This window comes from Homo sapiens, chromosome 15, assembly GCF_000001405.40.
Source record: "Homo sapiens chromosome 15, GRCh38.p14 Primary Assembly".
In the NCBI taxonomy this organism is placed as follows: Eukaryota; Metazoa; Chordata; class Mammalia; order Primates; family Hominidae; genus Homo; species Homo sapiens.
In genome coordinates, this window is record NC_000015.10 from 63163895 (window position 1) to 63191200 (window position 27306).

Sequence of the window (27306 nt, forward strand, 5' to 3'; positions counted from 1 at the left end):
CTTACCATATCTAGGAACCTTTTAAGTCAGTGATACCAAAGTTGTTTGCTTTTTGGAATCACCAAAGGAGCAGCTGAGGTCAATTAAATTAGAGTATTTAGGGGTGGAACCCAGGCGGCAGTATTTTTAAAACTCCCCAGGTGATTCCATGAACAGCCAGCATTGCACTTCCTGCTATAAATTGTCTGGAGGGCTTAGAATTTATAAAAGCAAAGCCCAGAAAGTACTATATGCTTCTAATGCTTAAAAGGAGAATGAGGGAAAAATACAGGGAGAAAAAAATCATTAATATTTCAAAATAGCCAAGCTTGGCAGCCAGGTGAGATCTCCTAGCACTTGTCCTGCTTGCCTTGATGATCAGGTCTCTTCATTTCCCCTACCATTGCTTCCTGCAAACCTTCTCACTATCCGCCCGAGACTCCAGAGGGGAAGGTAAGCTACTGAGAGACACGGTGTTTTCTCAGACTTCATTGTAACGCACAGTTCATACTGTCAAGGTGTTTTATGAGGGTGCTGAGGCCAGCATAAATTTATGCAAATATAATCTCTCCCCTTTCTGAACTCTTAATCCCTACCTTAACCACTTGTCAATAACTACTGCTGTCTTATATGAACTTTTTAAAAAATGCTCTTATACTGCTATGCTATTTCACTTTCCATGTGTCATGCCTTCTCTTCCCCAAAAGTCCATAGGCTTTTTTTTTTTTTTTTTCTGAGATGGAGCCTCGCTCTTGTCGTCCAGGCTGTAGTGCAGTGGCGCGATCTCAGCTCACTGCAACCTTCACCTCCCAGGTTCAAGCAATTCTCCTGCCTCAGCCTCCTGAGTAGCTGGGATTACAGGCAGGAGCCACTGTTTAGTAGAGAGGGGGTTTCACTGTGTTGGCCAGGCTGGTCTCAAACTCCTGACCTCAGGTGATCTGCCTGCCTTGGCCTCCCAAAGTGCGGGGATTACAGGCGTGAGCCACTGTGCCTGGCCCATAGGGTTCTTGAAGATCAGAATTTGGTCTCATCTCCCCAAAAGCCTAGCACAGTGCATAATGGGCACTCCAGGAATATGCTGAGTACCATACTCAATAGAGCTGACTTGATGGTCATTCTTTAATAATGATTCCAGTTATCCAGAATCCCTTTCTTCTCATCATAGTTTTAGTTGATCCTTCTTGATGCACTCCTTTGATCATTCCTCTGTCTCAACTTGGTGTTATGAAAAGACCAAAAGACCACTGAATTCTGCCTAAGCCTCAGTTAACTTGTTTCTAAAATTAGGAAAGTTCAGGTGCGGTGGCTTACAACTGTAATCCCTACACTTTGGGAGACCAAGGGAAAGGATTGCTTAAGGCCAGAAGTTCAAGACCAGCCTGGGTAACACAGCCAGATCTCATTTCTACAAAAAAAGAAAAAAGAACATTAGGTGAGCATGATGGCATGTGCCTGTGGTCCCAGCTACTCAGGAGGCTGAGGTGGGAGGATCGCTTGAGCCCGGGAGGGTGAGGCTGCAAAGAGCCATGATTGCACCACTACACTCCAGCCTGGGTGACATTGAGACCCTGTCTCCAAAAACAAACAAACAAATAAGATAAAATTAGGAAAGTGATTCAAAGTCACTGCAGAGTTAATGCGACGACACTGTAGTAACCTCTGCTGCTTCTTCCCTTGGGAAGTGGGTACAAGCAAAATAAGTGAAAAGCATTCTGTTTTTCCATTAGATAAAAGCTGACTAAAAGGCTAATGGGTTAAAGGGCTCAAAGTACAAAGAAGAATGGTGTTCTACTTATTCACACTGAAAAACTTATTCAACTATTTATGGAATGTCTGCTATATACAAAACAGTAAGCAATTTGGAAACCCTATTTCCAGGGAGCACAGAAACTTTAATAGCCGTTTAACCTCTAAGTTGTGTCTCTATCTATAAAATGAAAATATTTATACCTATTTCATAAGGTTATATGAAGAAAAAATGAGATGAGGCATAGTATACCGCAAGTGTTCAATAAATGCCAACTGTAATTCCTAGTGGTTGTCAGGAAGCTAGAACCCAGATTCCTACTACTCCAGGGTAACAAATAAAGGATTTTTCTCCACATTGGAGCAGGAAAGCACCTCTCTTCCCCCGTTCATTCTAGCAAATCTCATTCTCTCTTACCACTTCTAGGAACCCTCTAAGTCAATAAAACCCAAATTTGTTGTACATTAGAATCACCAAAGGAGCAGCTGAAGTCGATTAAATTAGAGTACTTGGGGGTAGAACCCAGCTGGCAGTGTTTTTGTAAACTCCCCAGGTAATTCCATCAGCAGCTAGGGTTGAGAACCACTGCTGTATAAGTTCTCCCGGGTGCTTAGCGTTTGCAAAAGAAATCAGTTGGCTCTGGGAATCTTGGACTGATGGCATTTCCCTCATAACAACTTGTAAAATGCAATGTCATTACAACAGTTGTGCCTTAAGGAAGATGATGAGAATATGTTCTATCTGCAAAAAATACTTACTGGAGTCTCTGAATCAAAAGCTCAGAGACTATTATTTCAAGATCCAATAGGTGGCACAAGGAGCCACTTATACAGGACAAGTGCTGGCCAGCAGAGAACTTTAACTTCCTGTTTCCAGGGGGCCTTCACCTTGGAGATGTCTTCCTACTCATGTTACACAGCCATTCCATAAGTAGCTATGCATAATAGCCCCCTTCAATATACAGAACATAGTTATTTTGGGTTTCCCTAAAGACAGAATATATGGCCTACAGGGCAGGTGAGAGTAAAGCTAGTCTTCCCTAAGTATTTCCCCAATATTTCACTCATCTGAAACTCATTAACTAAAGGAAACCACTTAAATTCCAATTGCCCTCACACAAAAGTGAAATAGCAGCAGGTGGCTCACGCCTGTAATCCCGGCACTTTGGGAGGCTGAGGCAGGCGGATCACTTGAGGTCATGAGTTCGAGACCAGCCTGACCAATATGGTGAGCTGTGCCCCCCCCCCACCCCCACCCCCGTCTCTACTAATAATACAGAAATTAGCTGGGTGTGGTGGCGGGCACCTGTAATCCTAGCTACTCGGGAGGCTGAGGCAGGAGAATCACTTGAACCCGGGAGGAGGAGGTTGCGGTGAGCTGAGATAGTGCCACTGTACTCCAGGCTGGGTGACAGAGTGAAACTCCATCTCCAAACAAACAAAAAAACATGAAATAGCATTGGCTTTAAATGTATTTTTATAGAGACACATAATTGAACAATCTACTAGAAGGGCTATTGTCATTTAGTCGTGCCAGGCCAGTAGTCATTAGGTAGCATAGACTCTCAAACAGTAGGGCATTGGTCAGCGAGCTTGGAGGTGGGGAGGAAGGGGTAGGTGTGCTGATCAGTAGTGTTTGCTAATTTCCATGGTGAAAATATTCCCACTATGACCACTTTCAGTCTACTAAGGTGAAGTCAATTTACAGAGAGTTGGGAAGAGATGAGCACAACCTTCTGATCGGTAATACCTAAGTCTTCTTGGAGTATTTCCATTATCATCAGAACTGCTAATAAAATATCTGTATTGATCATTTTGGGATTCTTTTCCTCTATCCTCTGATCAAAAAGCAGGGAGCAGAAATGAAAAATGAAAGAAAGGATGATCTGTTAGACTAATCCACAGACTGGAAAATTGGCCTTGAATAAAGAAGAGTTGACCTTCTTAATAATTTTACCTGCCTGGGCATAATACATTGCACAGAGTAAGGGCTCTATGGGACATTGCTTTCTGACTTGTAAATAATGTGGTTAAATATTAAAGATAGAATTTCAGATTAGAGGCCAGGTGTGGTGGCTCACGCCTGTAATCCTAGCAGTTTGGGAGGCCAAGGCAGGAGTATCACTTGAGCTCAGAAGTTTGAGACCAGGCTGGGCAACATAGTGAGAAACCATCTCTACTGAAAAAAAAAAAAGAAAAAAATTCATTCCACATTAGGGATAATCCACTCCAATTTTAGACAGCTCTACTTATTCCTTATGTTGTATCAAAATCTGCTTGCTTTTTAATTTGAATTCACCTATTGAAGTTCTGTCTAGGGAGGGAACATAGAAATACATATCATTCATTTTACAAACAAGTCTAGGCTGGTCACAGTGGCTCACACTTACCATCCCAGCACTTTGGGAGGTCAAGGTGGGAGGATCACTTGAGGCCAGGAGTTCACGACCACCCTGAGCAACATAGGGAGACCCTATCTCTACCAAAAAAAGAAAATTAGCTGGGCATGGTAGCACATGCCTATAGTACCAGCTACTCAAGAGACTGAGGAGGGAGGATCACTTGAACCCAGGAGTTTGAGATTATGAGTGAGCTGTGATCTCACCACTGCACTCCAGCCTGGGCGACAGAGTGAGATTCTGTCTCTAAAAAAATAAAAATAAACTCTAGAGCTAATTAAGGATGATATTTCATCTCCTCTAAGGCTTTATTTCTCCAGGATGAGTATCATTGGCTCCTATAAACAGTTTCCCATCACCCTTATCACATTTCTCTAGTCATGCTCCAATTTGCCCATTTCTCTCTTAAAATAGGCCCAATGACTGAACACACTGCCAGCTGAGAATAACAGGGAATTATTACTTGTCCTGTTCGGATTATCGTAAGTGTATCAATACATCCCAATATCACAAAGGTTTTTTTGTCAATGCAGTGGTATCACACTGTTGATTTACATAAACTTATAGCTGACTAAAATCCTGTCTTTTAAAACTATTAAACCTCACATTCCTTATGCTATAATTGCATTTTAAGAAATCTAAATACAGTGAATATACTAAAAATGTTTTTTAATTTTTTTATTTTTTATTCGTTTATTTATTTATTTATTTTTGAGACGGAGTCTCGCTGTTTCACCAGGCTGGAGTGCAGTGATGCGATCTCGGCTCATTGCAACCTCCGCCTCCTGGGTTCCAGCGATTCTCCTGCCTCAGCCTCCCGAGTACCTGGGACTACAGGTGCATGCCACCACACCCAGCTAATTTTTGTATTTTTAGTAGAGAGGGGATTTCACTATGTTGGCCGAGATGGTCTCGATCTCTTGACCTTGTGATCCAACTGCCTCTGCCTCCCAAAGTGCTGGGATTACAGGCGTGAGCCACCGTGCCCCACCCTAAAAACTAATGAATTGTATATTTTAATTGGCGAACTGTATGGTATGTAAATTATATCTCAATAAACCTGTTAAAAAAATCTAAGTACAGGAAAGAAAGACAGTTTTATTTTATCAAATACCTGCTACATTTTGCCAGGCACATTAGCTCATATGATCTTTTCAACAATCCCTTTGGGTTCTAGAAAAATTAAGTAACTTGTCCTGCTGGGTGTGGTGGCTCACGCCTGTAATCCCAGCACTTTGGGAGGCTGAGGCAGGTGGATCACGAGGTCAGGAGTTCAAGACCAGCCTGACCAACATGGCAAAACCCCGTCTCTACTAAAAATACAAAAATTAGCCAGGCATGGTGGCACGCATAGAAGGCTGAGGCATGAGAATTGCTTGAACCCAGGAGGCCGAGGTTGCAGTGAGCCAAGATCATGCCACTACACTCCAGCCTGGGTGACAAAGCGAGACTCTGTCTCAAAAAAAAAAAAAAAGCAGGACAAGTCACAGAGTAAACTAACTGTGTCTCCTGAACTACTGAGACAGGGCTTCTTAAAGCCTTCCATCTAGACAGAGGATTTGCATGTGAACCCGGGGCAGGGCCAAAGCTACAGATGAGTATCAAATGCCCCAGCAATGGGACTGACCGATTGTCAGGGGAATTGGCAAGACCAGTGCCAATCCTGTTTTGTTCTGGGTATGCCATCTATAATGCCATCCATCCACTTCCCTATGACACAAGAAGGTATATCAGGAAGTGACTAGGAGAAAACATTATTTTAGGGATAAGTGTGAATCTGTTGCATTTAATATTGTGATCAGTAAAAATTATCTGTGCATGTCTGATTTAGACAGGCCAGTTGAGTGTGATGGGACTAGCAGGGTAGGTGTGAACAGGCAGACACTTTCTGTGCAACCAGAATCTCTGGCTAAGCCTCTCTCCCTGCCAGCCCACGGACTTAGCCAAGTCTCCTTGGGTTTCCAGTAACAGAGGCATCTCACACTTGCCTGAGCTAAAATGGAGAGTGTGCTGGGCACCCGCCAGGGCAGGAAGGGCAGCTGGGCCACATGGGGTGGGAACAAAGCCCTGAGAGGCCACTGTGAATGGAGACAGCCATGCTCTTGCCACCTCCCTTTTTCTCTTGGGGTGACCTGGTTTCTCATCTCTTTCTCCCTGACACTGTGTCAGTCTCCTTTCTCCACAGCCCAGTTTTCCTTCTATGGTACACAGTGAAAATGGCCAGGCCAGCCCCCCAGTATAAGCTGTCCTAGTTCCAGGGCCAACTGTGACTGACCAGAGGCCTGTGTCCTAATTCCAGGTGCCCTGGAGAGAGAATCTGGTTGTCTCAGCTTGGGTCAGGAGTGTCTACCCTGGTCATCTGTGGTAGAGCCTCAGGGCCACTTGAGGAGACAGTGACTGCTGGGGCCACCCCTGTGGAAGAAGGCTAGGGGCAACTTTGAGGAAAGGAGGCACAGACTGAACAGAAGACCCTAAAGGTGCCCACTCCCTCCAGGCGTCTTTGCTGCCTTTGGCACCACAGCTGGTGGCTCTGCGCTACCCCCTCCAGGCTGCCTGCCTTCTCCCTCAAACCCCTAGCATTAATGGGACATTGTTTGTTAACTGAAAACATTTTCTCCACAAACTTCGGCAAACTGGTGGTGAATGTCTACAACAAAAACATTTTTTCCTGTGGAACAATCAAATCCGAGGACCACATGTTGAGGGGAGAAACCATTTAAACTAAAGACATACCAAGTACATTGGAACTGAGTCAGTTTACAAGGATCTACATGTGTCTAACAGTATATTTTACAACCAACAAAATTACTATGCATAATATACAAGTAATTTATTTGCAAAATGCCTTTCTAAACAGCCCTCACATTATGTCTAAATGAGAACTATCTTATTCACACTTCTTCAAGTGGCCAAAGAAGAAAATCTGAAATAAGGGGTGAGAAGCAGAAAATCTAGAGGTTCTGACCTAAGTGGGTCCTGCTTCTGACTTATAAGGTGCCATTAAGGGAACTATGGGGCACGTTGTTAAATCCAAAGGCTATACTGTGAGCCTTGGAGAGCAACTAAGACTCCTTCCCCCATAATCTCTGATAGTGGTGGTGGTGGTGATGATGATGATGATGATATCACCTGAGCACTGATTTTGTGCCAGGCACCGTGCTAGGCACTCTTCACATGGATTATCTAATTTGATCTTTCCAACATCCCTATGAGGTAGATAGTAATATTATCCCCATTTTACACATGAGGAAACTGAGGCACAGAGATAGTTAAGTACCATTCCTAAGTTCTCAGAAATGGTAACTTGCAGAACCAAGCTATAAACCTAAGTCTGGCTGAAGCTGAAGACCTTTCATCCTTATGAATATAATATATCTAGATCTTCCAACAAGATTTTTTTTAAATTTTGAAAACAAAACTCCCTAATGGACATTAGGCCTTCCTATCGTTTTCATCACTCATTATGTCTTTATTTCCAGTGCATTTGAACAAGTATCTTTTATATTTTCTATAAAGAAGTACCGAGGTCAAGGGCAATATAAAAATGATTAAGACCCTCTTGGGGTTTTTGAGGAGCTCAAGGTCATCTAATATTAGGAAGAGCCTGTATAAGCATAATTATAACATAATACTGAATATGATCTGTCATCCTGGAAACACAGGGCTCTAAGAGATTAAGGGAAGGAGTGGTCATGTCCACTAAGCATATACAAGTTATGATTTGCTGCATGTGAATGTTGCTAGATGAATTGTGTGAAAGAGACAGAAATCCCATGTTAGCCAAAGTAACCAACAGTGCCCAGGTGTGATCCTCAGTGGGACCACTATGACTTCTGGTAAGTTAGGTAGCCATGTATATTAGTCTGTTCTCACATTGGTATAAAGAACTACCTGAGACTGGGTAATTTATTTATAAAAAGAGGTTTGACTCACAATTCCACACGCTGTACAGGAGGCATGGCTGGGGAGGCCTCAGGAAACTTACAATCATGGTGGAAGGCGAAGAGAAAGCAGGCACATTGTCTTTGTTTGTTTGTTTTTGTTTTTGAGATGGAGTCTCCCACTGTTGCCCAGGCTGGAGTGCAGTGGCACAATCTTGGCTCACAGCAACCTCAGCCTCCCAGGTTCAAGCGATTCTCCTGCCTCAGCCTCCCAAGTAGCTGGGACTACAGGCATGCGCCACCACGCCCAGCTAATTTTTTGTATTTTTAGTAGAGATGGGGTTTCACTGCGTTAGCCAGGATGGTCTCGATCTCCTGACGTCGTGATCTGCCCGCCTCGGCCTTCCAAAGTGCTAGGATTACAGGCATGAGCCACTGCTCTCGGCCTGGCACGTGTTACATGGCCGAAGCAGGGGGAAGAGAGCTAAGGGAGAGGTGTTACAGACTTTTAAACAACCAGATGTCATAAGAACTCACTATCACGAGAACAGCAAGGGGGAAGGCCGCCCCCATGATCCAATCATCTCCCACCAGGCCTCTCCTCCAACACTGGGGATTACAATTCACACATGAGATTTCGGCAGGGACACAAATCCAAACCATATCACCATGTCTTTAAGTGAAGTAGGAAAGACACAAGACTTTAAAGGAAGGAATGGATCCTAGATAGGCCTGAGCCTCGTAGCGTGTTCTCAGTAAGCACTGTCCCTGAAGAAAAGACTCCTATCATGAGCTGTCAGCCAGCAAACCCAGGCAGGGATGATAGGAAGACCTGCAGAGGAGATCTTTGGAAAGAGCTTTTCCCTCAGTGTGACACTTTAGATCTCAAGGATCTCTCCAGAACAGTCCCAGGAATAAACGGATACACCTTGTTCTTTGTACTTTGATTGCAAAAACCAGCCCATCATCTGCCACCAGCTGGACCCAGTGAATTTTGGAGCTGCCTGCCATGCAGACATCTGAGATGTGCGTTGATTACATGCTCTGCCCCCCCACTGCCATTGCTAAGCCCTGCTTTCTGTTCAGGCAATGTGAGCCAACTGTGCCTTCCTGCTCCTCTGTTGTCTGCAGCAGTCTGTGATCAGGACTCAGAGGCTTAACCATAGCAGTGGAAAGCAGGATGCACTCCAAACTTAGCTGACTTTGGATAAAATGGCTCTAAAGCTCTTTTTCATTTATATACAACTTTACATTACAAAGCCCATCACAATCAGCATTAATTAAACCTGCCACTCATTGCCCTCTGAGGTAGAGCTGAATTAGTCTGCTTATTTTACAGCTGACAAAACAGACAGAAAGGCTTAAGGATTTGCTGAAGTGAAGTGGGGTTCAATCAAGGAAGCCTGGCATGATTCCCTTTCTAGTTCATTCTTCTTCTCCTGGAGGAGGACTTCAAAATGCCTAGCTCCTAACTCTGAGCAGCTAAAGGAAGCCAAGTGGGAAGAGAAGCTTGGCAGAGCAGCCGTGGCGATCTAGAACAGAACATCAGTGTGAGGTTTGGATGATGTGAGCACAGCCAGGTCATGTTTTCCTGATTCTCAGTGGATATTACACACATGCGCGCGCAAGCACACACACACACATGCGCACACGCACACACACATACACACACACACACACACACAGTTTCCCTTGTTGGGTCAGGGAGCAGAAGGATGTTGGAACGTAGTTGGAGCGCTGGTTGGCAGCAATGCTCTGTTTGACCTGGTGGCAAAGTGGCCCACCCATTACCCACACTCCAACCACTTACCAGAGCCTTTATATTAGAATTTTAAACACACTCAAAATCAAACACATTCCAAGGACAGGCCCCATTTTGTGGGGCATGGAGCAAGAATGAAAATGAAAACCAACATATCATATGTCTAAATATTTAAAAATTCTAGCCAAAGCTAACAAACTTGGGTTTCCTACCTTGACAGATATACCTTTACAATGATGCAGATAATTGGTTTGAATTTAGAATATTTCAGCTCCTTAGAGGTCCATACCAAAACGTGGTGGCCCAGGAGAGCAGCCCTGGCCCAGAACAGTGCCCTTCCTTCACCCCTCAAATTGGGCCCACATCATGAAGGGCCTCACACACACACGATGTGGATTCCAGCCCATATGTCCAAGCGCTGGCCATATCATCACCCCCTTTTGGTGGCCACTTGGGGCTATGGCCCAATTGTACAGTCCACCCTCAGAAGGATAGATCAGGGCTGGGTGCAGTGGCTCACACCTGTAGTCCCAGTACTTTGGGAGGCTCACTTGAGGTCAGGAGTTTGAGACCAGCCTGGCCAACATGGTGAAAACCCGTCTTTACTAAAAATACAAAAATTAGCTGGGCATGGTAGTAGGTGCCTATAATCCCAACTACTCGAGAGGCTGAGGCAGGAGAATCACTTGAACCCTGGAGGTGGAGCTTGCAGTGAGCTGAGATTGCGCCACTGCACTCCAGCCTGAGCAACAGAGCAAGATTCAGTTTCAAATAAAAAATAAATAAAAAAGGCCGAGCACGGTGGCTCATGCCTGTAATCCTAGCACTTCGGGAGGCCGAGATGAGTGGATTGCCTCAGCTCAGGAGTTCAAGACCAGCCTGGGCAACACGGTGAAACCCTGTCTCTATTAAAATACAAAAAATTAGCCGGGCGTGGCCATGTGTGCCTGTAATCCAAGCTACTTGGGAGGTTGAGGCAGGAGAATTGCTTGAACCCCGGAGGTGGAGGTTGCAGTGAGCTGAGATCACACCACTGTACTCCAGCCTGGGTGACAGAGCGAGACTCCGTCTCCAAAAAATAAAAAAAGAAGAAAAAGAAAGAAAGAAAGATCGATCAGGAGAAGAGGCCCATACCAATCCTGGAAGCAGGGCCATTGGCAGGGAATCCTGAGTTCTGGGTACCTGGAATGTAGCCTAAAAAGATGGCATGGCTCTGGGTGAGTAAATCCACTTAGCCTGTAAACTCCTTGCCCAGTGGAGAGGACTGACCAGAAGAGAACAAGGGTAGCATAGGGCTCTCTACACAGTGGGCCCCAGGGGAAGAGGCCCCTCTTGCCAAGACCTAAGAGCAAATCATATCTGGCCAAATAATAAATAAGCCAAAGATGTGAGTTAATAGAGTCTGCACAAATCTGGGTACCATTATTTCTACCTCAACTATACAACACAAAGGCATGAGCTGTTTCAATATTTTATCTGCTACCTCCAATAAATAACTTACTTATTCTGGGCAGTAGGCATTATCTCCAGTAGGTATAAGGGCCAGAGAACAAATGAATGAGCTCCATAAGTAAATATTTTACTGCTAAGGTTGCACTCCCATACAAAACCAGACATCAAAACTCTAGAGGATGATCCTAAGGTCAGTGCCACTGCTGCTGCCTCCCCAGAATGGACCAAGGGGGTGGAAGAGAAGCTTGATTCCCTGGACTGCTGGGCATTGCTTTTTGTGGGGGTTGCTTGGGTCAGTCAAGGTTGTGAGGAGCTGTCAGACAAAACAGCTTCTGTCCACATCATTTCCTTCAGAATCAGGGTCATGATCACAGTCCTGGCTTTGAGATGCAAAGAAGCTAAAATTATGAGCTTCCTTATTGTTCCCCCATATCTCAGTTTTGCATAATAATTTACAACATTTAATATTAAGGGAAATATGTCCACATGTAAAAAGTATTTTCATCACCAAATTCTCAAGGCAAAAGATGTAAGGAAATGTGTACAATGTTTATTTGGATGCAAATTCGTTGTTGTGTGTTCAAACGTTAACAGCATTGAATTCTGGATTCTCGGCTCAGGCGAGGGTTAGTTCAACTTTCTCCAACAATACTGTTCATAATATATGAAGGATACATTCCTTAATGATCTTTGGAGGTTGGTTATATAATTTAATTTCCTTAAAGTTTTTGTTTTGTTTTATTCTGTTTTTGAGACGGAGTCTCGCTCTGTCGCCCAGGCTGGAGTGCAATGGCACGATCTTGGCTCACCGCAACCTCCGCCTCCCAGGGGGTTCAAGTGATTCTCCTGCCTTAGCCTCCCAAGTAGCTGGGATTACAGGCGCCCATGCCCAGCTAATTTTTGTATTTTTAATAGAGACAGGTTGGCCAGGCTAGTCACGAACTCCTGACCTCAGGTGATCCAAGAGCCTTGGCCTCCCAAAGTGCTGGGATTACAGGCATGAGCCACCACACCCGGCTTCCTTTAAATTTTTTCGCTTTTCATATGGAGGTAGAAACAGAGCCCAAATCAGAATTTAAAAGTTGGTTCAGACTAGTAGGTGGTGGTCACTTCTGGGGTGTAAACAGGCAGGTTCTTTTCCTACCCCCTTCACCTTCTCCCCAACAGATCCACTATCTGTTCAGATAGAGCCATTCTGGAAAGCTAGGGACAATTTTTATTCCCTGACTAATCCCATTTTTGGTTGTCACTTGGCAACTTGGTCTATATTGCAGCCTGTACAAGCATCCAGCTTCCCGAAGGCATCCCTGAAACCTCGCTCAATGCAGTTCAGGTTCCCATGTCATCTTGATTCATCCTCCTTGCTCATCCATTTAAGGTGAATTGTGGGTCTAAAGTAGGTGACTCAACGCTGGTCAGCAAGACCTTGCTGGGATGGTTCACCCAAGAGCATTGCTCTTAGGTGATGCTGTTGATTGCTAGTAAAACCCAATGTCATTGATACTGAGTGTGGTAACCTTCCATGTATCAACAATAGTTAGGGAATTAGGTGTTCTAATACACTGGGTAATCCACTTAATTATAGACTACCAGTGTCTAAATAAATATAAACTAGTTTTGAAATAACTATAAGGCTGCGCGCAGTGGTTTATGCCTGTAATCCCAGCACTTTGGGAGGCCGAGACGGGTGGATCACTTGAGGTCAGGAGTTCAAGACCAGCCTGGTCAACATGGTGAAACCCCATTTCCACAAAATAATAAAAAAATTAGCCAGGCGTGGTGGCGCGCTCCTGTAATCCCAGCTACTTGGGAGGTTGAGGCAGGAGAATTGCTTGAACCTGGGAGGCAGAAGTTGGAGTGAGCGGAGATTGCACCACTGCACTCCAGCCTGGGCGACAGAGTGAGACTCTGTCAAAAAAAAAAAAAAAGAACTATAAACTAGCACCACAGTACATTACCAGTATATCATAATTCTACCTAGTATTTTAACTATTTAAGTGTGGGTCCCACCTCCCATGAAGGCCATGTGCTTCTTACGGAGTGGTCTGTGTCAGTTCATCTTTATTCCTCTTATGGTATCTAGTAAGTTGCTTTATATATTGTAGGTGCTAAAAGAGCTTTTGTTGAATGAAACTATAGAACACAAACTATCATTTACTAACATGACTTAATCCTGTGATGACTCAGAAGGCCCTCCAGGATCACACATTTCTTCAAGGTTGTTATTATGTGTGTTATCTATGGGGATGTTTAAACACAGACCAAGTGGTTGAAAGGGGAATTCTGCAGTGCCTGGAAGATAGGACTTGATAACTACCAGCTCATTCCAATTCTGTGTGTATGTATTGAAGAGTCAAATATAGAAATGATCTCATTTATTATCACCTGAATGAAACATGTTTATGAAACCAAGAGATTACAAGTGAAAACTGTCAAATAGCCTCTGTTAATAAGCCTTAACCAGAATTCATGGTCCTTGACCATGATAAGTCAATTAATCTGAAAAGGTAGGATTCCATTAGTGCTGTGAGTGAATTATTACCATTATTTAATTTTATTAAAACCTGCTCATTAGATTGTAATTTACTAATTAATGCAAACATATTTGTCACTATGTGGCTAATATATGCCAAGCCTGTGTTAGTCAGTCATTAGGGATACAATGTAAATATAATTCATGCCCTCAAGAAATTCAAATAATTTCTCTGTAAAAACACTTCATTGTGCAGATCATTTTTACAGCACTTTAAATGTCAATGTGGGAAATTAGCCTGGGTGTGATATGACCCTCTAACCTAGCCTATAATTCATTCAAAATACAGAACAATACAAAGCAAAAAATGCCAGTTAGTTTAATTACTTGACATTAGTCTTTTTCTCAAAAACACAATATACAGAATGTTCATTCAGAATTCTGGGTAAATATGCTTCTGCACAGATGATTTTAATTTCAGGTTAGTACAACATCTGCCAGTCCCCCAGAGCTTGAGGGTGAAGCAGCTTCCCCAGGTGTGGAGGAGAGAGAGCCATCACAGCGCCCCACCCTCTTCTCTGATCTTTCTGTGGATCTGACAGTGACAGAGGCGGCAGCAGGGAGCCCTGCCCTGGGACTCAGGAGAAGCCTGGGAGCAGGGACGGGTGTTCTCAGTCCAGTCTGTCAGGAATTCTGGGAATGGATGCTGCCGTCTTTCCTCACAGCTTCCTGTAAACATGCTGATTTTCAACTTGATAGTAGGACTTTGCTATTTAGTGTTTTCATATCTAAAACTAAGGGGTTAGGTTTCGAGGGGTGGCTTAGCCTCTAATCTCAGCACTTTGTGAGCCCGAGGCAGGTAGATCACTTCAGGCAAGGAGTCTGAGACCAGCCGAGGCAACATGGTGAAACCCCATCTCTACCAAAAAAATATAAAAATTAGCTGGGCGTGGTGGTGCGGGCCTGTGGTCCCAGCTGAGGTGGAAGGATACCTTGAGCCGAGGTGAGAGGATACCTTGAGCCGACGTGAGAGGATACCTTGAGCCCAGGTGAGAGGATACCTTGAGCCGAGGTGAGAGGATACCTTGAGCCTGGGAGGTAGAGGTTGCAGTGAGCCAAGATCATGCCACTGCACTCCAAGCTGGGTGACAGAGAGAGACCCTGTCTCAAAATAAATAAATTTAAAAAAAATAAAAATAAAAATAAGGGCCGAGTGCGGTGGCTCTCACGCCTGTAATACCAGCACTTTGGGAGGCCAAGGCGGGTGGATCACCTGAAGTCAGGAGTTCAAGACCAGCCTGGCCAATATGGTGAAACCCATCTCTACTAAAAATACAAAAAATTAGCCAGGTGTGGTGGCGGGCGCCTGTAGTCCCAGCTACTCGGGAGGCTCAGGCAGGAGAATCGCCGGAACCCAGGAGGCAGAGGCTGCAGTGAGCCGAGATGGCGCCACTGCACTCCAGCCTGGGCGATAGAGTGAGACTCTGTCTCAAAAAAACAAAAACAAAAAACGAACAAACAAGCAAAAAAAAGGGTTTGGATTAAATGAGTTTCCTAACATACAGTCTGAGGACACAAGCCCCATAAGATGCGCCATCAGAATGGAGTGTGGGAAAAGCCGTGTGCCACACCTTGCGGTGGAGACTCACAGCTGCGCCTCTGCATACTGACGTCAGAGAAGCCGCACCATCTAAACAACTGATAGCAGCATTTCTCAAAAAGCTTAGCCCTGAAATCTTTTCTTCTTGTATCACCTGCTAGCATCTGCTGACTCACTTAGCGTTCTGAGGTACACATTTTGAGAAACCCTGGAATACATCTCTATAGTCATTGGATTTTTGTTTTGTTTTTTCTCGAGATGGAGTTTCGCCCTGTCACCAGGCTGGAGTGCAGTGGCGCAATCTCGGCTCACTGCAACCTCTGCCTCTGGGTTCAAGCAATTCTGCTGCCTCAGCCTCCTGACTAGCTGGGATTACAGGCACCCGCCACCACGCCCGGCTAATTTTTGTATTTTTAGTAGAGACGGGGTTTCTCCCCGTTGGCCAGGCTGGTGTCGAACTCCTGACCTCGTGATCTGCCCACCTCAGCCTCCCGAAGTGCTGGGATTACAGGTGTGAGCCACCGCACCCGGCCTAGACATTGGTTTTTATGGCCTCTTTTTTTGAGACGGAGTCTCGCTCTGTTGCCAGGCTGGAGTGCTGTGGCGTGATATCAGCTCACTGCAACTTCCAACTCCCTGGTTCAAGCGATTCTCCTGCCTCAGCCTCCCGAGTAGCCGGGATTACAGGCACGCACCATCACGCCCAGCTAATTTTTGTATTTTTAGTAGAGACGGAGTTTCACCATGTTGGCCTGGATGGTCTCAATCTCCTGACCTCGTGATCCGCCTGCCTTGGCCTCCCAAAGTACTGGGATTACAGGCGTGAGCTACAGCGCCCGGCAGGTTTTTATGGCCTCTTAAAGCAAGAAGTAGTCTTAGAAGTCAGAGGTCCATTGAGGTTAGGTAGCCTGTCAAGGATCTCAGTTAGTCACTGGGCAGACTAGGTCCCTTTCATCTGTCAATTTCTTACATTTGTATTCTCATAACCTTGATGGATACAATTTTACTGTGAGGAAAGCTAGAAAAAGCATCAGCAATTGAAATCCACAGACAATTCCTAAGCCCCAGAGTTTCCACTTTTGGGTGAGCCCTGTTGGTTGAAGTGACTCCTGATTAAGCAAAAGTGATTAGAAATACTATATTTTCTAATGATGACTGTCTACAGGCTAGTGGAGGTGTTACTGAATAGAGACTTATACACAATTCAAGAAGCCACTGAGAAGAGGGAAAGCAGAAACAAACAGTATGGAGTCCAGAGCCCAAGTAATTAGCTCCTGGTGATGAAAAGTAAATTAATTTTTTTGATACTGGGCTCAAGGAGATCCTCTGATTTTTTTTTTTTTTTTTTAAGTACTAAGTATAAGTCACAGATTCAGTTGGCGTCAGATCTTGAAAAAGAGATCTGATACTTTCTATACTGACCTTAAAGCCTAGTCTCCTGGATAGGGTCTCCTTTTTGCCAGCTCGAAAAAAATCTCACACATCTCTTCACTTGGTCTTTGCCTTGAGTTAAAAGAACAAAAATAATTTTAGGCTTTAATCTCTTTTTATGCAGTTTACTTGCAAAAAATTATTTAAGTTGGTGGCTAAGTAAACAATGGTATTCTCTCAGCAGTTAATTCCACTGGCTTTTCCACAGTCCCAACTATAGTATAGCCTAGCCCCAAAGTAATTAAAGAAGCAAGCAATTTGCGTTCTTTTTCTACAAAACTACTCTTGAGTAGCAGATGGCAAACACAAATGTTTTGCTCTAGAGACATATGGAAACCTCTCTGTTTCATAAAAGCCTCAATAAATATTAAACCCCAAATGATGCCATTCATTGCAGAAATAAAATGTGATAATCCCCCAAACAGCCTAATTAGACCATATAGCTACTTGAGTTTCAGAAAGCAATAGGTGGGAAATTACTATGTGATTGGGATTTCATTCGCAGTTTCTCTTAATCTGAATATTCAACCTGGCCCAAAAGAATCACCTATTCAGCCTTATTTATTCAGCATTCTATTAGGTTATCATCATCATTTATGCTTGTAATTTTAAAAGTGAATAATCAAAGAATCCTGCTTGATTTCATATTAACTCTTCAGTTCTGTCTGAACCAGTGAGAGCAAGGAATTTCACAAAGGGAGAGGGTGTTTTATCACAGGTTCTGGAGCAATTCAACATGTTCCCTGATTAACTCTGTTTATAATCCCTTGCTGCTGTTAAACCAGGAAAAAAAAAAAAGTCAGAGCCAGGTGCAGTAGTGTGCACCTGTAGTCCTAGCTACTCAGGAGGCCGAGGCAGGAGGATCACTTGAGCTCCGGAGTTTGAAGTTACAGTGAGCTATGATCGTGCCTGTGAATAGCCATGCACTCCAGCCTATGGAACATTGTGAGACCCTGCCTCTAAATATATATACATGTCTATGTTTAAGGTTATTCGGGAAATGATTATGATTATTCATATTAAGTAGGAATTGCAGGAAGAAATCTGATTGGAGTTGGCTCAGAATAATGCAGAATTTCATTTTTCTCTTAACCCAGTAATTTGGCAACCCAACAAATCATTGTTGCTATCTCAGGACTGAAACTTGGTGCTCCTTGGAAAGAGAGAAGCAATGATAACTGAGTCATAAGGGTGAATTGAATGTTGTTTAGAACAAGGAACTAAGTATCTTGGGCTCCTTTCCCGGCTCCACACCCTACATAGCCTCAATGGGACTCACAAGACCTCTGAGGTTGCTGATAAATCCCCTGATTCACCAGGGTGTTTGGGTGGCTTGGGAGACTATTGTGTGAAAGATCAGAACTTCCAGGTCTCAGGACATCTGTTATCGGGGCCTGGATTCAAGAGCTCAAAGGATTTTACAGATGGGAATGGATGATTTCATTCAGTTCCTCCCATTTTACAGTTAAGGAAACTGAGGCACAGAAATGCTGTGCTTGTTTAAGGTCACAGAACTATTTAGTAGCAGAGGGGAAACAGAACTCAGGTCATCTGATGCTAAGTTCAGTCCTTTTGACAATAACAAAGTCCCAGGACAGATTTGTCAGAGCCTGATAGAATAATTAGAAAGTTTGCTTCAGGAACCATTTAAGGGTATAAAGCCCATTTTAAAGTCTTTGCTGCCAAAATGGGCTTTATACCGTCAGCTGATTCCTGAAGTAGCGCAGAAAAGGGGCCAGGTGTCAAAGTGCTTTGGTTAATTCTGGCTTTGGGTTACCCATTCCCTCCTCAAGGAGGCCATATTTCCTTCTTCCCAGTTAAGCATCAACCCATCTGTTTAGAGAATGACAAATCACACTTTTTCTGGATTCAGTTCTGTGATTTCTCCAATGTAATCAATCACTTGGTAGTACTTGACACAAATATCCATGTGATGGCCAAGCATCGTGGCTCACACCTGTAATCCCAGCACTTTGGGTGGCCGAGGTGGGCGGATCACCAGAGGTCAGGAGTTCGAGACCAGCCTGATGAATACGGTGAAACTCTGTCTCTACTAAACACACAAAAATTAGCCAGGTGTGGTGGCATGTGCCTGAAATCCTAGCTACTCAGGAGGCTGAGGCATGAGAATTGCTTGAACCCGGGAGGCAGAGGTTGCAGTGAGCCGAGATCGTGCCATTACACTCCAGCCTGGACAATACAATGAGACTCAGTCTCAAAAACAAGCAAACAAATATCCATGTGCATTTGACACGTAAACACAGATGGTGCTCATTTGTTTCCCAGCCTTATCTTCTCCAGTCTTCACTAATAGAACCCTGTGTTTAGGGTGAGGCTGACTCTACACCCAGTCCCAGTGGCTTACATCAGTTGACAGAGGCCACTCTCTTGGGCCCTGCATAGGTTCAGGGAAGGGCAGTCAAGGCCCATGGAACTCAATTCCTGGGTATTTATTTGAACTTTTGGGGAAAAGGATTCTCTACATTCTGCTCTGTTTGAATCTGGAAGCAAGGAGCCCTAGGAGTTTCAGGAAGACATTTTGCAACCACATGGGGCTAGCCTATTGAAATAAGTGCTATCTTGAAGACGTGTTGCTAAGATGCTGACAAAGAGAAGCCAAGAACTGGGCATGTAATTTGAGCTACTAGATTAAGTCTCACCTGTCACTAGGCTTATATCTGATAATTCTAGTTTAGGGTTAAATATATTTATGGTTTAAATCAGTATTTTTATTTAGGTCATTTAGTATTCTGTTATTTACTACCATAAGAATCCCAATACCTGTTCTGATGCTGATTGTGAGTTTCAGCACATCTTGACTTTGCTATTGGATAAGAGTCCATTTTAAAGTTGGCCCCAAAAGACTTAAAAAAAAAACCAAAAAAAACAAACAAAAAACCTCAAGTTTACAAGAAGCTCTACCCAAAAAGCTCTACCCAAAATGCATAGTCCTTATTGCACGTCTTACTTTACACAAAATCCCACAAAATAGCAATGCCTAGCTTAATGAAATGAATGAATTTTGCTAATATTTTATTGTCAGCAACTTTATTACCAGAGAAAGAAATAATATAAGAGGTATTAGAATGAATTCCTTCCAAACCACCCTTTGGTGCAGGAGTCCTCAACCCCCGAGGCAGTGGGCCAGTTGTGGTCAGTGGCCTGTTAGGAACTGGGCTACACACCAGGAGGTGAGCAGCAGGTGAGCAAGCATTACCACCTGTGCTCCACCTCCTGTCAGAACTGAGGTGGCACTAGATTCTCAGAGGAGCACGAACCCCATTGTGAACTGCGTGTGTGAGGGATCTAGGTTGCCCACTCCTTATGAGAATCTAATGCCTAGGCCTGGTGCGGTGGCTCACACCTGTAATCCCAGCTCTTTGGGAGCCCAAGACAGGAGGATCACCTGAGGTCAGGAGTTTGAGACCAGCTTGGCCAACACGGTGAAACCCCATCTCTACTAAAAACAAAAACTAGCCGGGTGTGGTGGTGTGTGCCTGTAATCCCAGCTACTCAGGAGGCTGAGGCAGGAAAATCGCTTGAACCTGGGGAGGGGAGGTTCCAGGGAGCCTAGATCGTGCCACTGCACTCCAGCCTGGGTGACAGAGTGAGACTCTGTCCCAAAAAGAAAAAAAAAAAAGAATCTAATGCTTGATGTTCTGTCATTGTCTCGCATCACCCCTAGATGGGACCATCTAGTTGCAGGAAAACAAGCTCGGGGCTCCCACTGATTCTACATTATTGTAGAATGTACATAATGTAGGGGTCTTATCATCTCTCATTTTTATTTAACTTTTGCATCCAGTGGTGATATGCATAATATGTAACAATCAGTTTGGCAGGAACACTTGACCAATCAGATTGGAAGCCTGGCCAATCAGAATGGATGCCCAAATCATCAAAATCAACACCCAACCAATGAGAATGAGAATGGATGCCCCACTAATCCGAATGAAAAGCCAACCAATCAGAATGGACAACTTATCTTCACCTATCAAGATAAATGCAATGTGTACGAGCCTCACATTTACCATTGAATTTTTCATTTGTGGGCTCTCCCCTCAATTAGCTGGGAGCAAACTGAGGGCAAGGACCACATGAGACATCTTTTTGTATCCTCCAGGTGGCCTTGCTTAGCTGGTTTCAAAGTGTGAACTTAATGAATGTTTGAGTGGACATTTTTCACCTAGTGATTGCTCAGGAAATATCAGTCAGTGGAAAGGGTACAGTTTGTCCCTCTGATTAGGATAATTGTAGAATTATACACTGGAGTATCACTAAATAGCATTTTTTAATGACACACAGGTGACATGAAAAATTGGTATTTTTAAGGGCTTATCATTCAATGTGATCTTGACAAACCAGAAAAATAATACATAATTATGCTGATTTCTTAAACACAACAATGAATAGTGTACTTACTGAATGAATAACATCTAAATACAAGGTAGAGTACAAACAGAAAGATATTAGCGAGGTCCCAAACACCTAATATAGCAAATAATAAACTAAAGGTGTCCAGATGTTTTAAAATTAGCTAGACTGCTAAGATGCTAGTCAGATCTTCATTCATTGGTTCATTCAACACCTTGAGTGCCTGCTATGTATAAAACATCATGCTAAGCATGCTGGGGATGCAGCAATACATTAGCAGTCTCTTTCCTCAAAGAGCTCAACTTTTAAGGGAGCAGACAAAGAAGCACACAAACCATTCAATAACAGAGAGAGAACTTATTCAACAGCTGAGTCATCAGTCAGTGAAGATAATCACCATAAAGGACATCTTTGTAGCCCACCGGGACAGCTGTGCTCAACAGATGGCAGAGGGCCAGAACCTAAGAGTAGTTGGGCAGAAGTGTCAACCGAGATGGGTACACACTGATTCCCAGAGGCTGCTTTGCCTTTAATTTTTCAGGACCATGTGAGCTCCTGGATTCTTGTAAGATACAATTAAGGAGAGGAAAAGTCCCAATAATAACTGATTTTGGGCCGGGCGCGGTGGCTCATGCCTGTAATCCCAGCACTTTGGGAGGCCAAGGTGGGCGGATCACCTGAGGTCAGGAGTTGGAGATCAGCCTGGCCAACATGGTGAAATCCCGTCTCTATTAAAAATATAAAAATTAGCTGGGCATTGTGATGGGAACCTGTAATCCCAGCTACTCGGGAGGCTGAGGCAGGGGAAATGCTTGAATCCAGGAGGCAGAGGTTGCAGTGAGTTGAGACTGTGCCATTGCACTCCAGCCTGGGCAACAAGAGTGAAACTCCGTCTCAAAAACAAACAAAAAAAACCTGATATTGGTTTTGCCAGCCTTTGATAAGTAGGGGTCTCAGCCAAATTTAATTTCGTTAAAGCCATTAAGAAAGGTGATTTCTTGCTCTCAAGTGTCATGGAGCAACTTAAACCAGTTTAAAAATTCTTAAACTATTTTGAAAATTTGCTTAGAGAACACACAGACCCTCAAGACTATGTTTGTAGAATCTTGGGAGTGGACCTCCAAGATGAATACATTACTGTGGAGAGTGAATAATGCCTTTGGAATTGTGCAACATGGCAGTCTTGCTTGCTACCATGAGGAAAGCTAGCCTGAGGACAAAGTAAACACAGAGAAGAGCAGGAACAAGAGCATACAGGAAAATGAACTAAAGCTTTGATCAAAACCAGCCAAAAGCTCACATAGACCTCATACCAGACAGACCTACTTTCAGCATCAAAACCCATTTCCTTAGAAAGTTCACAGGGAAGAACTCGGATTGACGCAGCCTGGGTCATATGCCCACCTCTGTGGCATGTGGAGTGAAGTGACATGATTCACAGCCATCATTAGAAAGAGGAGTGGCTTTCCAAAAACAGAAAGAGTGCTGGTCTGACAAAATTCACAGAAGGTAGACTCCTTGGACATCTAGATTTCTGTAGTCAAGCTGTCATGTACAATATTAACCCTATAGAAGGCTTCAATAAACATTTGCTAAATCAAATTGAATGTGCCTGGTGCTCTGCAGTGATGTAGTATTTACAGGGTGGGCTTGGGAAACTGACAGAAAGTATTGATGTGGTTCACTCAGAGCATAGTAACTTGGAGTTTAAAACGGGGTCCACTGATAGCTCTCGGAGAAAGAAGGAACAGTGGCAACCAGCAACCTGCTACCTGAAGTAACTGTACTGCTACAAATATACTTAATGTCCAGTCCTTTGAGCAAAATGCCTTGATTCAATAGTACTCAGTTACTACCACCAGAATCCGATATCTAAATAACATTGTTGCACAAAATATGAAAATGAATAATGTGTAAGAGAAAAAAATCTGATTCTTTTTGAAGTAGTATCAATATGTCAAAATGCTTGAATGGTTCAACAGTGGTGCACAAACTTACCAGCTAGAAAGTCCCAATATTATATATACTTGGTAGCAGAGAAAAACTGGGGAAGTGAAAATAAGACAACATTATTATTTTTTAAAATTCCCATCAATTAACAAAATTCCCCTAAGAAAATTTAGGGACTTTAAAATTCCTAATGCTAGTTTCTCTTTTGAACTTAAGTTCTTTACCGTATCACTACATTTTTATTCATATAGAAAGAGAGTGATAATAGTTGCATACAGACAGTGGGACTAAACATCATTTTAATAAATATGCGGTTTTTTTTTTTCTTTTGAGACAGAGTCTTGCTCTGTCACCCTGGCTGGAGTGCAGTGGTGCAATCTCGGCTCACTGCAAGCTCCGCCTCCCGGGTTCATGCCATTCTCCTGCCTCAGCCTCCCGAGTAGCTGGGACTACAGGCGCCCGCCACCATGCCCGGCTAATTTTTTGTACTTTTAGTAGAGACGGGGTTTCACCGTGTTAGCCAGGATGGTCTCGATCTCCTGACCTCGTGATCTGCCCGCCTGGGCCTCCCAAAGTGCTGGGATTACAGGCGTGAGCCACCGCGCCTGGCCATAAATATACATTTTTAAAAAGAAATAAATTCCACTGGTCTTTGCGGAATTTTTTCCCCTTCTTTTCCAGGAATGAGGAGGAAGATATAGAACAATCCACACTGTTCAGATCATGGCTGAAGCCACGTTCAGAGGCTTGCTCAAGGACTGGCTTGGGCAAGAGGGCTCAGCCTGTGCCAGAGGGCAGAATCCTTCTTCATTAGGGGCAGACACTGTGACTTTGAACTCATTAGAGCTTTGTTCCTATCTAGTGGACTCTAGGAATGAGACATTCCGTAAGCAGCAGCAGCAGCAGCAGCAGCCCTCTGGCTACTGTATGATCAATCAGTTAATGATGACACATTTCATCTTTTACCCGCATAGAAAATGAAGGCCAATTCTAGGGCCAACTAAGTCTTCTGCCACAATGCAACTGAGAATGGATTATCAGTGGCACTGTTCCTAAAGTCACAAGGCACACAGTATGTGTCCTTAGAAAAGCCTGCTGGTTTGTTCAACTAACTGTCCACGGTTTTTCCCCCCCCCCCTTTTCTTATTCCACTAATGGTGGAGTCCACTGGTTCCCTTAATAACCTCTAGCCTTCCAGAAGGTGTTTCCTTATAGCTAAGGTAAATGTCTGGACCAGTGGTTCTCAAATACTTTGGTTTCAAGACCCCTTCATCCTCTTAAAACTTATTGAAGACTCCAAGAAGCTTTTTTTCATGTGGGTTTTACCTGTCGGTATTTGACATATTAGAAATTAAAACTTCGAAGGGAGAACAACAGATGAGAGACACAGAGCCCTGGCAGGGTGGACTCCTAGTCCCACACCTTCTTAGCCTTTTGCTTCCACATTACCTGAACCAGTCAACACCCCTTTCACAACAGCTAATCCGGTTGGGTTTCTGCCACTAGCAAATGAAAGGGGACTGAACAATACATCCACAAAACAGAGAATTAGCCTAAGACAATAAATAATAAAGGATTAACTTGAGTATAACAGAATGCTGTTTCCTCCCTATATTCGTCATCAATTAAGTGAGAGCCTACTGAAGAGTAATGAATATTACCATCACTGCTAACAGTGCCTTATGGGTTTCAAAGAACTTTCACATTTAGTATTTAAGTTTCACTGGAACCCTATGAAGTATCTTGTTTCATATCCATTTTACAGATGAGAAAACTGAAATGTCCAGTGCCTGTGTGACTTGTCACAGCGGTTTTGCAGCAGAGCCAAGACTAAATTCAAATCTTACTCTCTAAATTCCCGTGGCCCGCCTCACAGGATGCTTGCAGTTTCATGGGGCACAGACCTGTAGCACAAGACTTCCCAGATTTAAAAATCCATCCTCCTGCGAGGAGAGGGGAGCGATCAGCGTAGCAGATTCTCTAAATACTCATTGTATTTGGCTCTGGTCTGTGTGGCGTGAAGAAGGGGGCACGAGTGAGGTTCGAGTTAGCATGGTAACCATTCTTTCTCAGCTCTGTGACTGAGGGGCTGCGGGAGGGGGTTATAGTGGTGCTGGGCATGGCCTCGGGGAGAAGCTGGATAATGCCCTCTGCAGATAACCCGTAGGCTGCGCCACAGCAGCGCCAAGGAAAGAAAGCATCTCTGCTCCAGGTCTCGGCGGAAGAGATGCGGGAACTACGGGGCTCTGATTCTGAGGTCCTGGATTTGGAAGGCGTCTGCACACAAAGAAATAACAAAGTTAAGTTCCCGCGGCTCGACCAGCAGAGTACGAAACGGGGCCTCCCTTCCCAGCTCGGGTGGAAACGCCTCCACCCTGTCACCCCGCCCATAGCAGGTCTTTTATCCGCTGGAGCCGCCTGGACAGTCCTCGCGGGGCACGCCCGAGGCTCCCCGGAGGAACTACAAGTCCCATGAAGTCCCGGGGCGCGGGCGGTGATGACGAAGCCCTCGCCGATTGGCCGCACGGGGCGGGGCGCGCAGGCCTTCTCCGAGAGGAGGGGCGGGGCGTGGGGCGGGGCGAGCAGCGGCGGATTGGCGGGCACGCCCCCTCGCCCGCGGCCCCCTCCCCGCCTCTCTCCACCGCCTCCTCTGGCTCCCCGGTCAGAGGGCCGGAGCGAGAAGATGGCGAAGACGTACGATTATCTCTTCAAGCTCCTGCTGATCGGCGACTCGGGGGTAGGCAAGACCTGCCTCCTGTTCCGCTTCTCAGAGGACGCCTTCAACACCACCTTCATCTCCACCATCGGTGAGGGAGGGGCCGCGGCCCGGGACCGGGTAGAGAATTGGGGGGCGGGTACTAGGGGACGGGGAAAGGGCGGGGGGCGCTTGGGAGCCCGGGAGAGGAGACCCCGGGGACTGCAAGGTGGCGGGGGCACTGAGAGGGGCGAGGGCGTGAGGGAGAGGGGCGAGGGCGTGAGGGAGAGAGGCGAGCGGGAACGTGAGGCTAAGGGCGAAGGGGGAACTTGGGGGCAAAGGAACGGGAAGGGGAACAGAGGAACAAGGACTAGGGGTATTGGGGGAACGAGAGGGTTCGGAGACTGACAGGGAGGGGTCTTTGAGGGACAAAATGTGTTGGGGGGAAGACTCAGGAAATCTCATGTAGAGAGAAGGGGATAGTGGACGTGCCAATGATTAAAAGACAGGAGAGGAAGGAAATGTGAAGGGGGAAATGAGGGATGGGGGCAATGAGAGGGATGTGAAGTAAAGGGACAGAGGACACAAGGGACAGAGAGGTGAGAACCAGGCAACTGGAAGGGAATTCAGGGGAATGAGCGGTCAGGAGGTGAGGAAGAAGGGGACGGCTGGCCACAGGAGGTCTGGACTGAGATGTCGTAGGAGGGGACAGAAGAAAATTGTAGGTGGAAGAAGAGTTCAAGGGATCAGAGGGCAGAATGAGGATACTTGATGGAGAAAGTAAAGGGATCTGGGTGTGAGACAGAAAGGAAAAGAGGAAGCAACATCATAGTAAAGGGAGGTTGAGCAGAGAAGACAGAGGAGATGGAAAAGAGAGGAAATGGAAAGTAGTGGGGCGCAAGACTTGCTATAGTAACTGATTACCATTTTCTCTTCACTTCCTTTGGATCAAGTGCAGGAGAAAGCAAAATGTGACTAATGATGGAATAATGTCTATAGAGCGTTAATTTGTTCTGTGAGTGTTAATGGATGTTAAGGGAATTGGTGACTTTTGGAAATGATGTGGTCAGGAAAATATGGTTCACCTCTTTACTACCATCTCCTGAGAAGCAAGACTTCTCAGTATTTTAAATCCTTCGGTTTGAATGTTTAACAGCTTCTCAGCCAAGGAAATGAACTTACATTCTACCTGCCTCCCTGTATATTTTGCTTTGGTTCTAATTATTGTTAAGTGAATCACAACATGTGATATACCTCTCAGTTACTTCCAATTGAATCAAGAGTTTTTCTGATCCTGGCTGGGAGCTGTCCTTTCTACTTTTGTACTGGAAGACACTGTGTTCAGGTAATAAGATCTCTTAACTTATCATAAACTGAAGACCAAGTCAAAGCTGGTTTTAAGCTGTTTTAGAAGTGACCACCTTAACATCATTTCTCCTGTTAAATAGTTGCAGGTTAATTAAGTACCTTAAGAATACCTCAGCTTTTGGTTGTGTTGGTGATGTTTCTGGCCTCTAATAGTGGCTTATTTAGTCATCTTTCGTATGGTTCTTACAGCATATTT

General features: G+C 44.6%; 1 protein-coding gene and 1 long non-coding RNA gene across 5 annotated transcripts in view, besides 2 other annotated features; one reads left to right on the top strand and one right to left on the bottom strand.

Annotated features, from left to right (window-relative positions):
* Window positions 1–14172: 14172 nt before the first annotated feature.
* On the bottom strand, window positions 14173–25537 carry LOC101928972 (uncharacterized). Of its 2 annotated transcripts, XR_932355.4 has the most exons (4): window positions 24952–25537; window positions 23096–23141; window positions 16715–16795; window positions 14173–14421 (listed from the first exon to the last, which is right to left on the bottom strand). It is a non-coding gene; the product is annotated as an uncharacterized LOC101928972 (long non-coding RNA). The 2 variants fall into 2 exon arrangements; XR_243169.5 differs by lacking the exon at window positions 23096–23141.
* Window positions 25137–25286: an enhancer, noted in NCBI's record as "active region_9527". NCBI's record gives its function as "activates an Ori minimal core promoter by ATAC-STARR-seq in GM12878 lymphoblastoid cells {active_cell/tissue: GM12878}" and the evidence as "EXISTENCE:reporter gene assay evidence [ECO:0000049][PMID:35858748]".
* Window positions 25467–25796: a silencer, noted in NCBI's record as "silent region_6512". NCBI's record gives its function as "represses an Ori minimal core promoter by ATAC-STARR-seq in GM12878 lymphoblastoid cells {active_cell/tissue: GM12878}" and the evidence as "EXISTENCE:reporter gene assay evidence [ECO:0000049][PMID:35858748]".
* Window positions 25712–27306, top strand: part of RAB8B (RAB8B, member RAS oncogene family) — a 78171-nt gene continuing 76576 nt past the window's right edge. For all 3 annotated transcript variants that reach the window (XM_017022312.1, NM_016530.3, XM_011521669.4), the window contains exon 1: window positions 25712–25854. Coding sequence is in view for 2 of the 3 variants with exons in the window: in NM_016530.3 (NP_057614.1) it covers window positions 25731–25854 (124 nt within the window). In the remaining variant the exon portion in view is untranslated. The remainder of the gene's footprint in view (window positions 25855–27306) is intronic.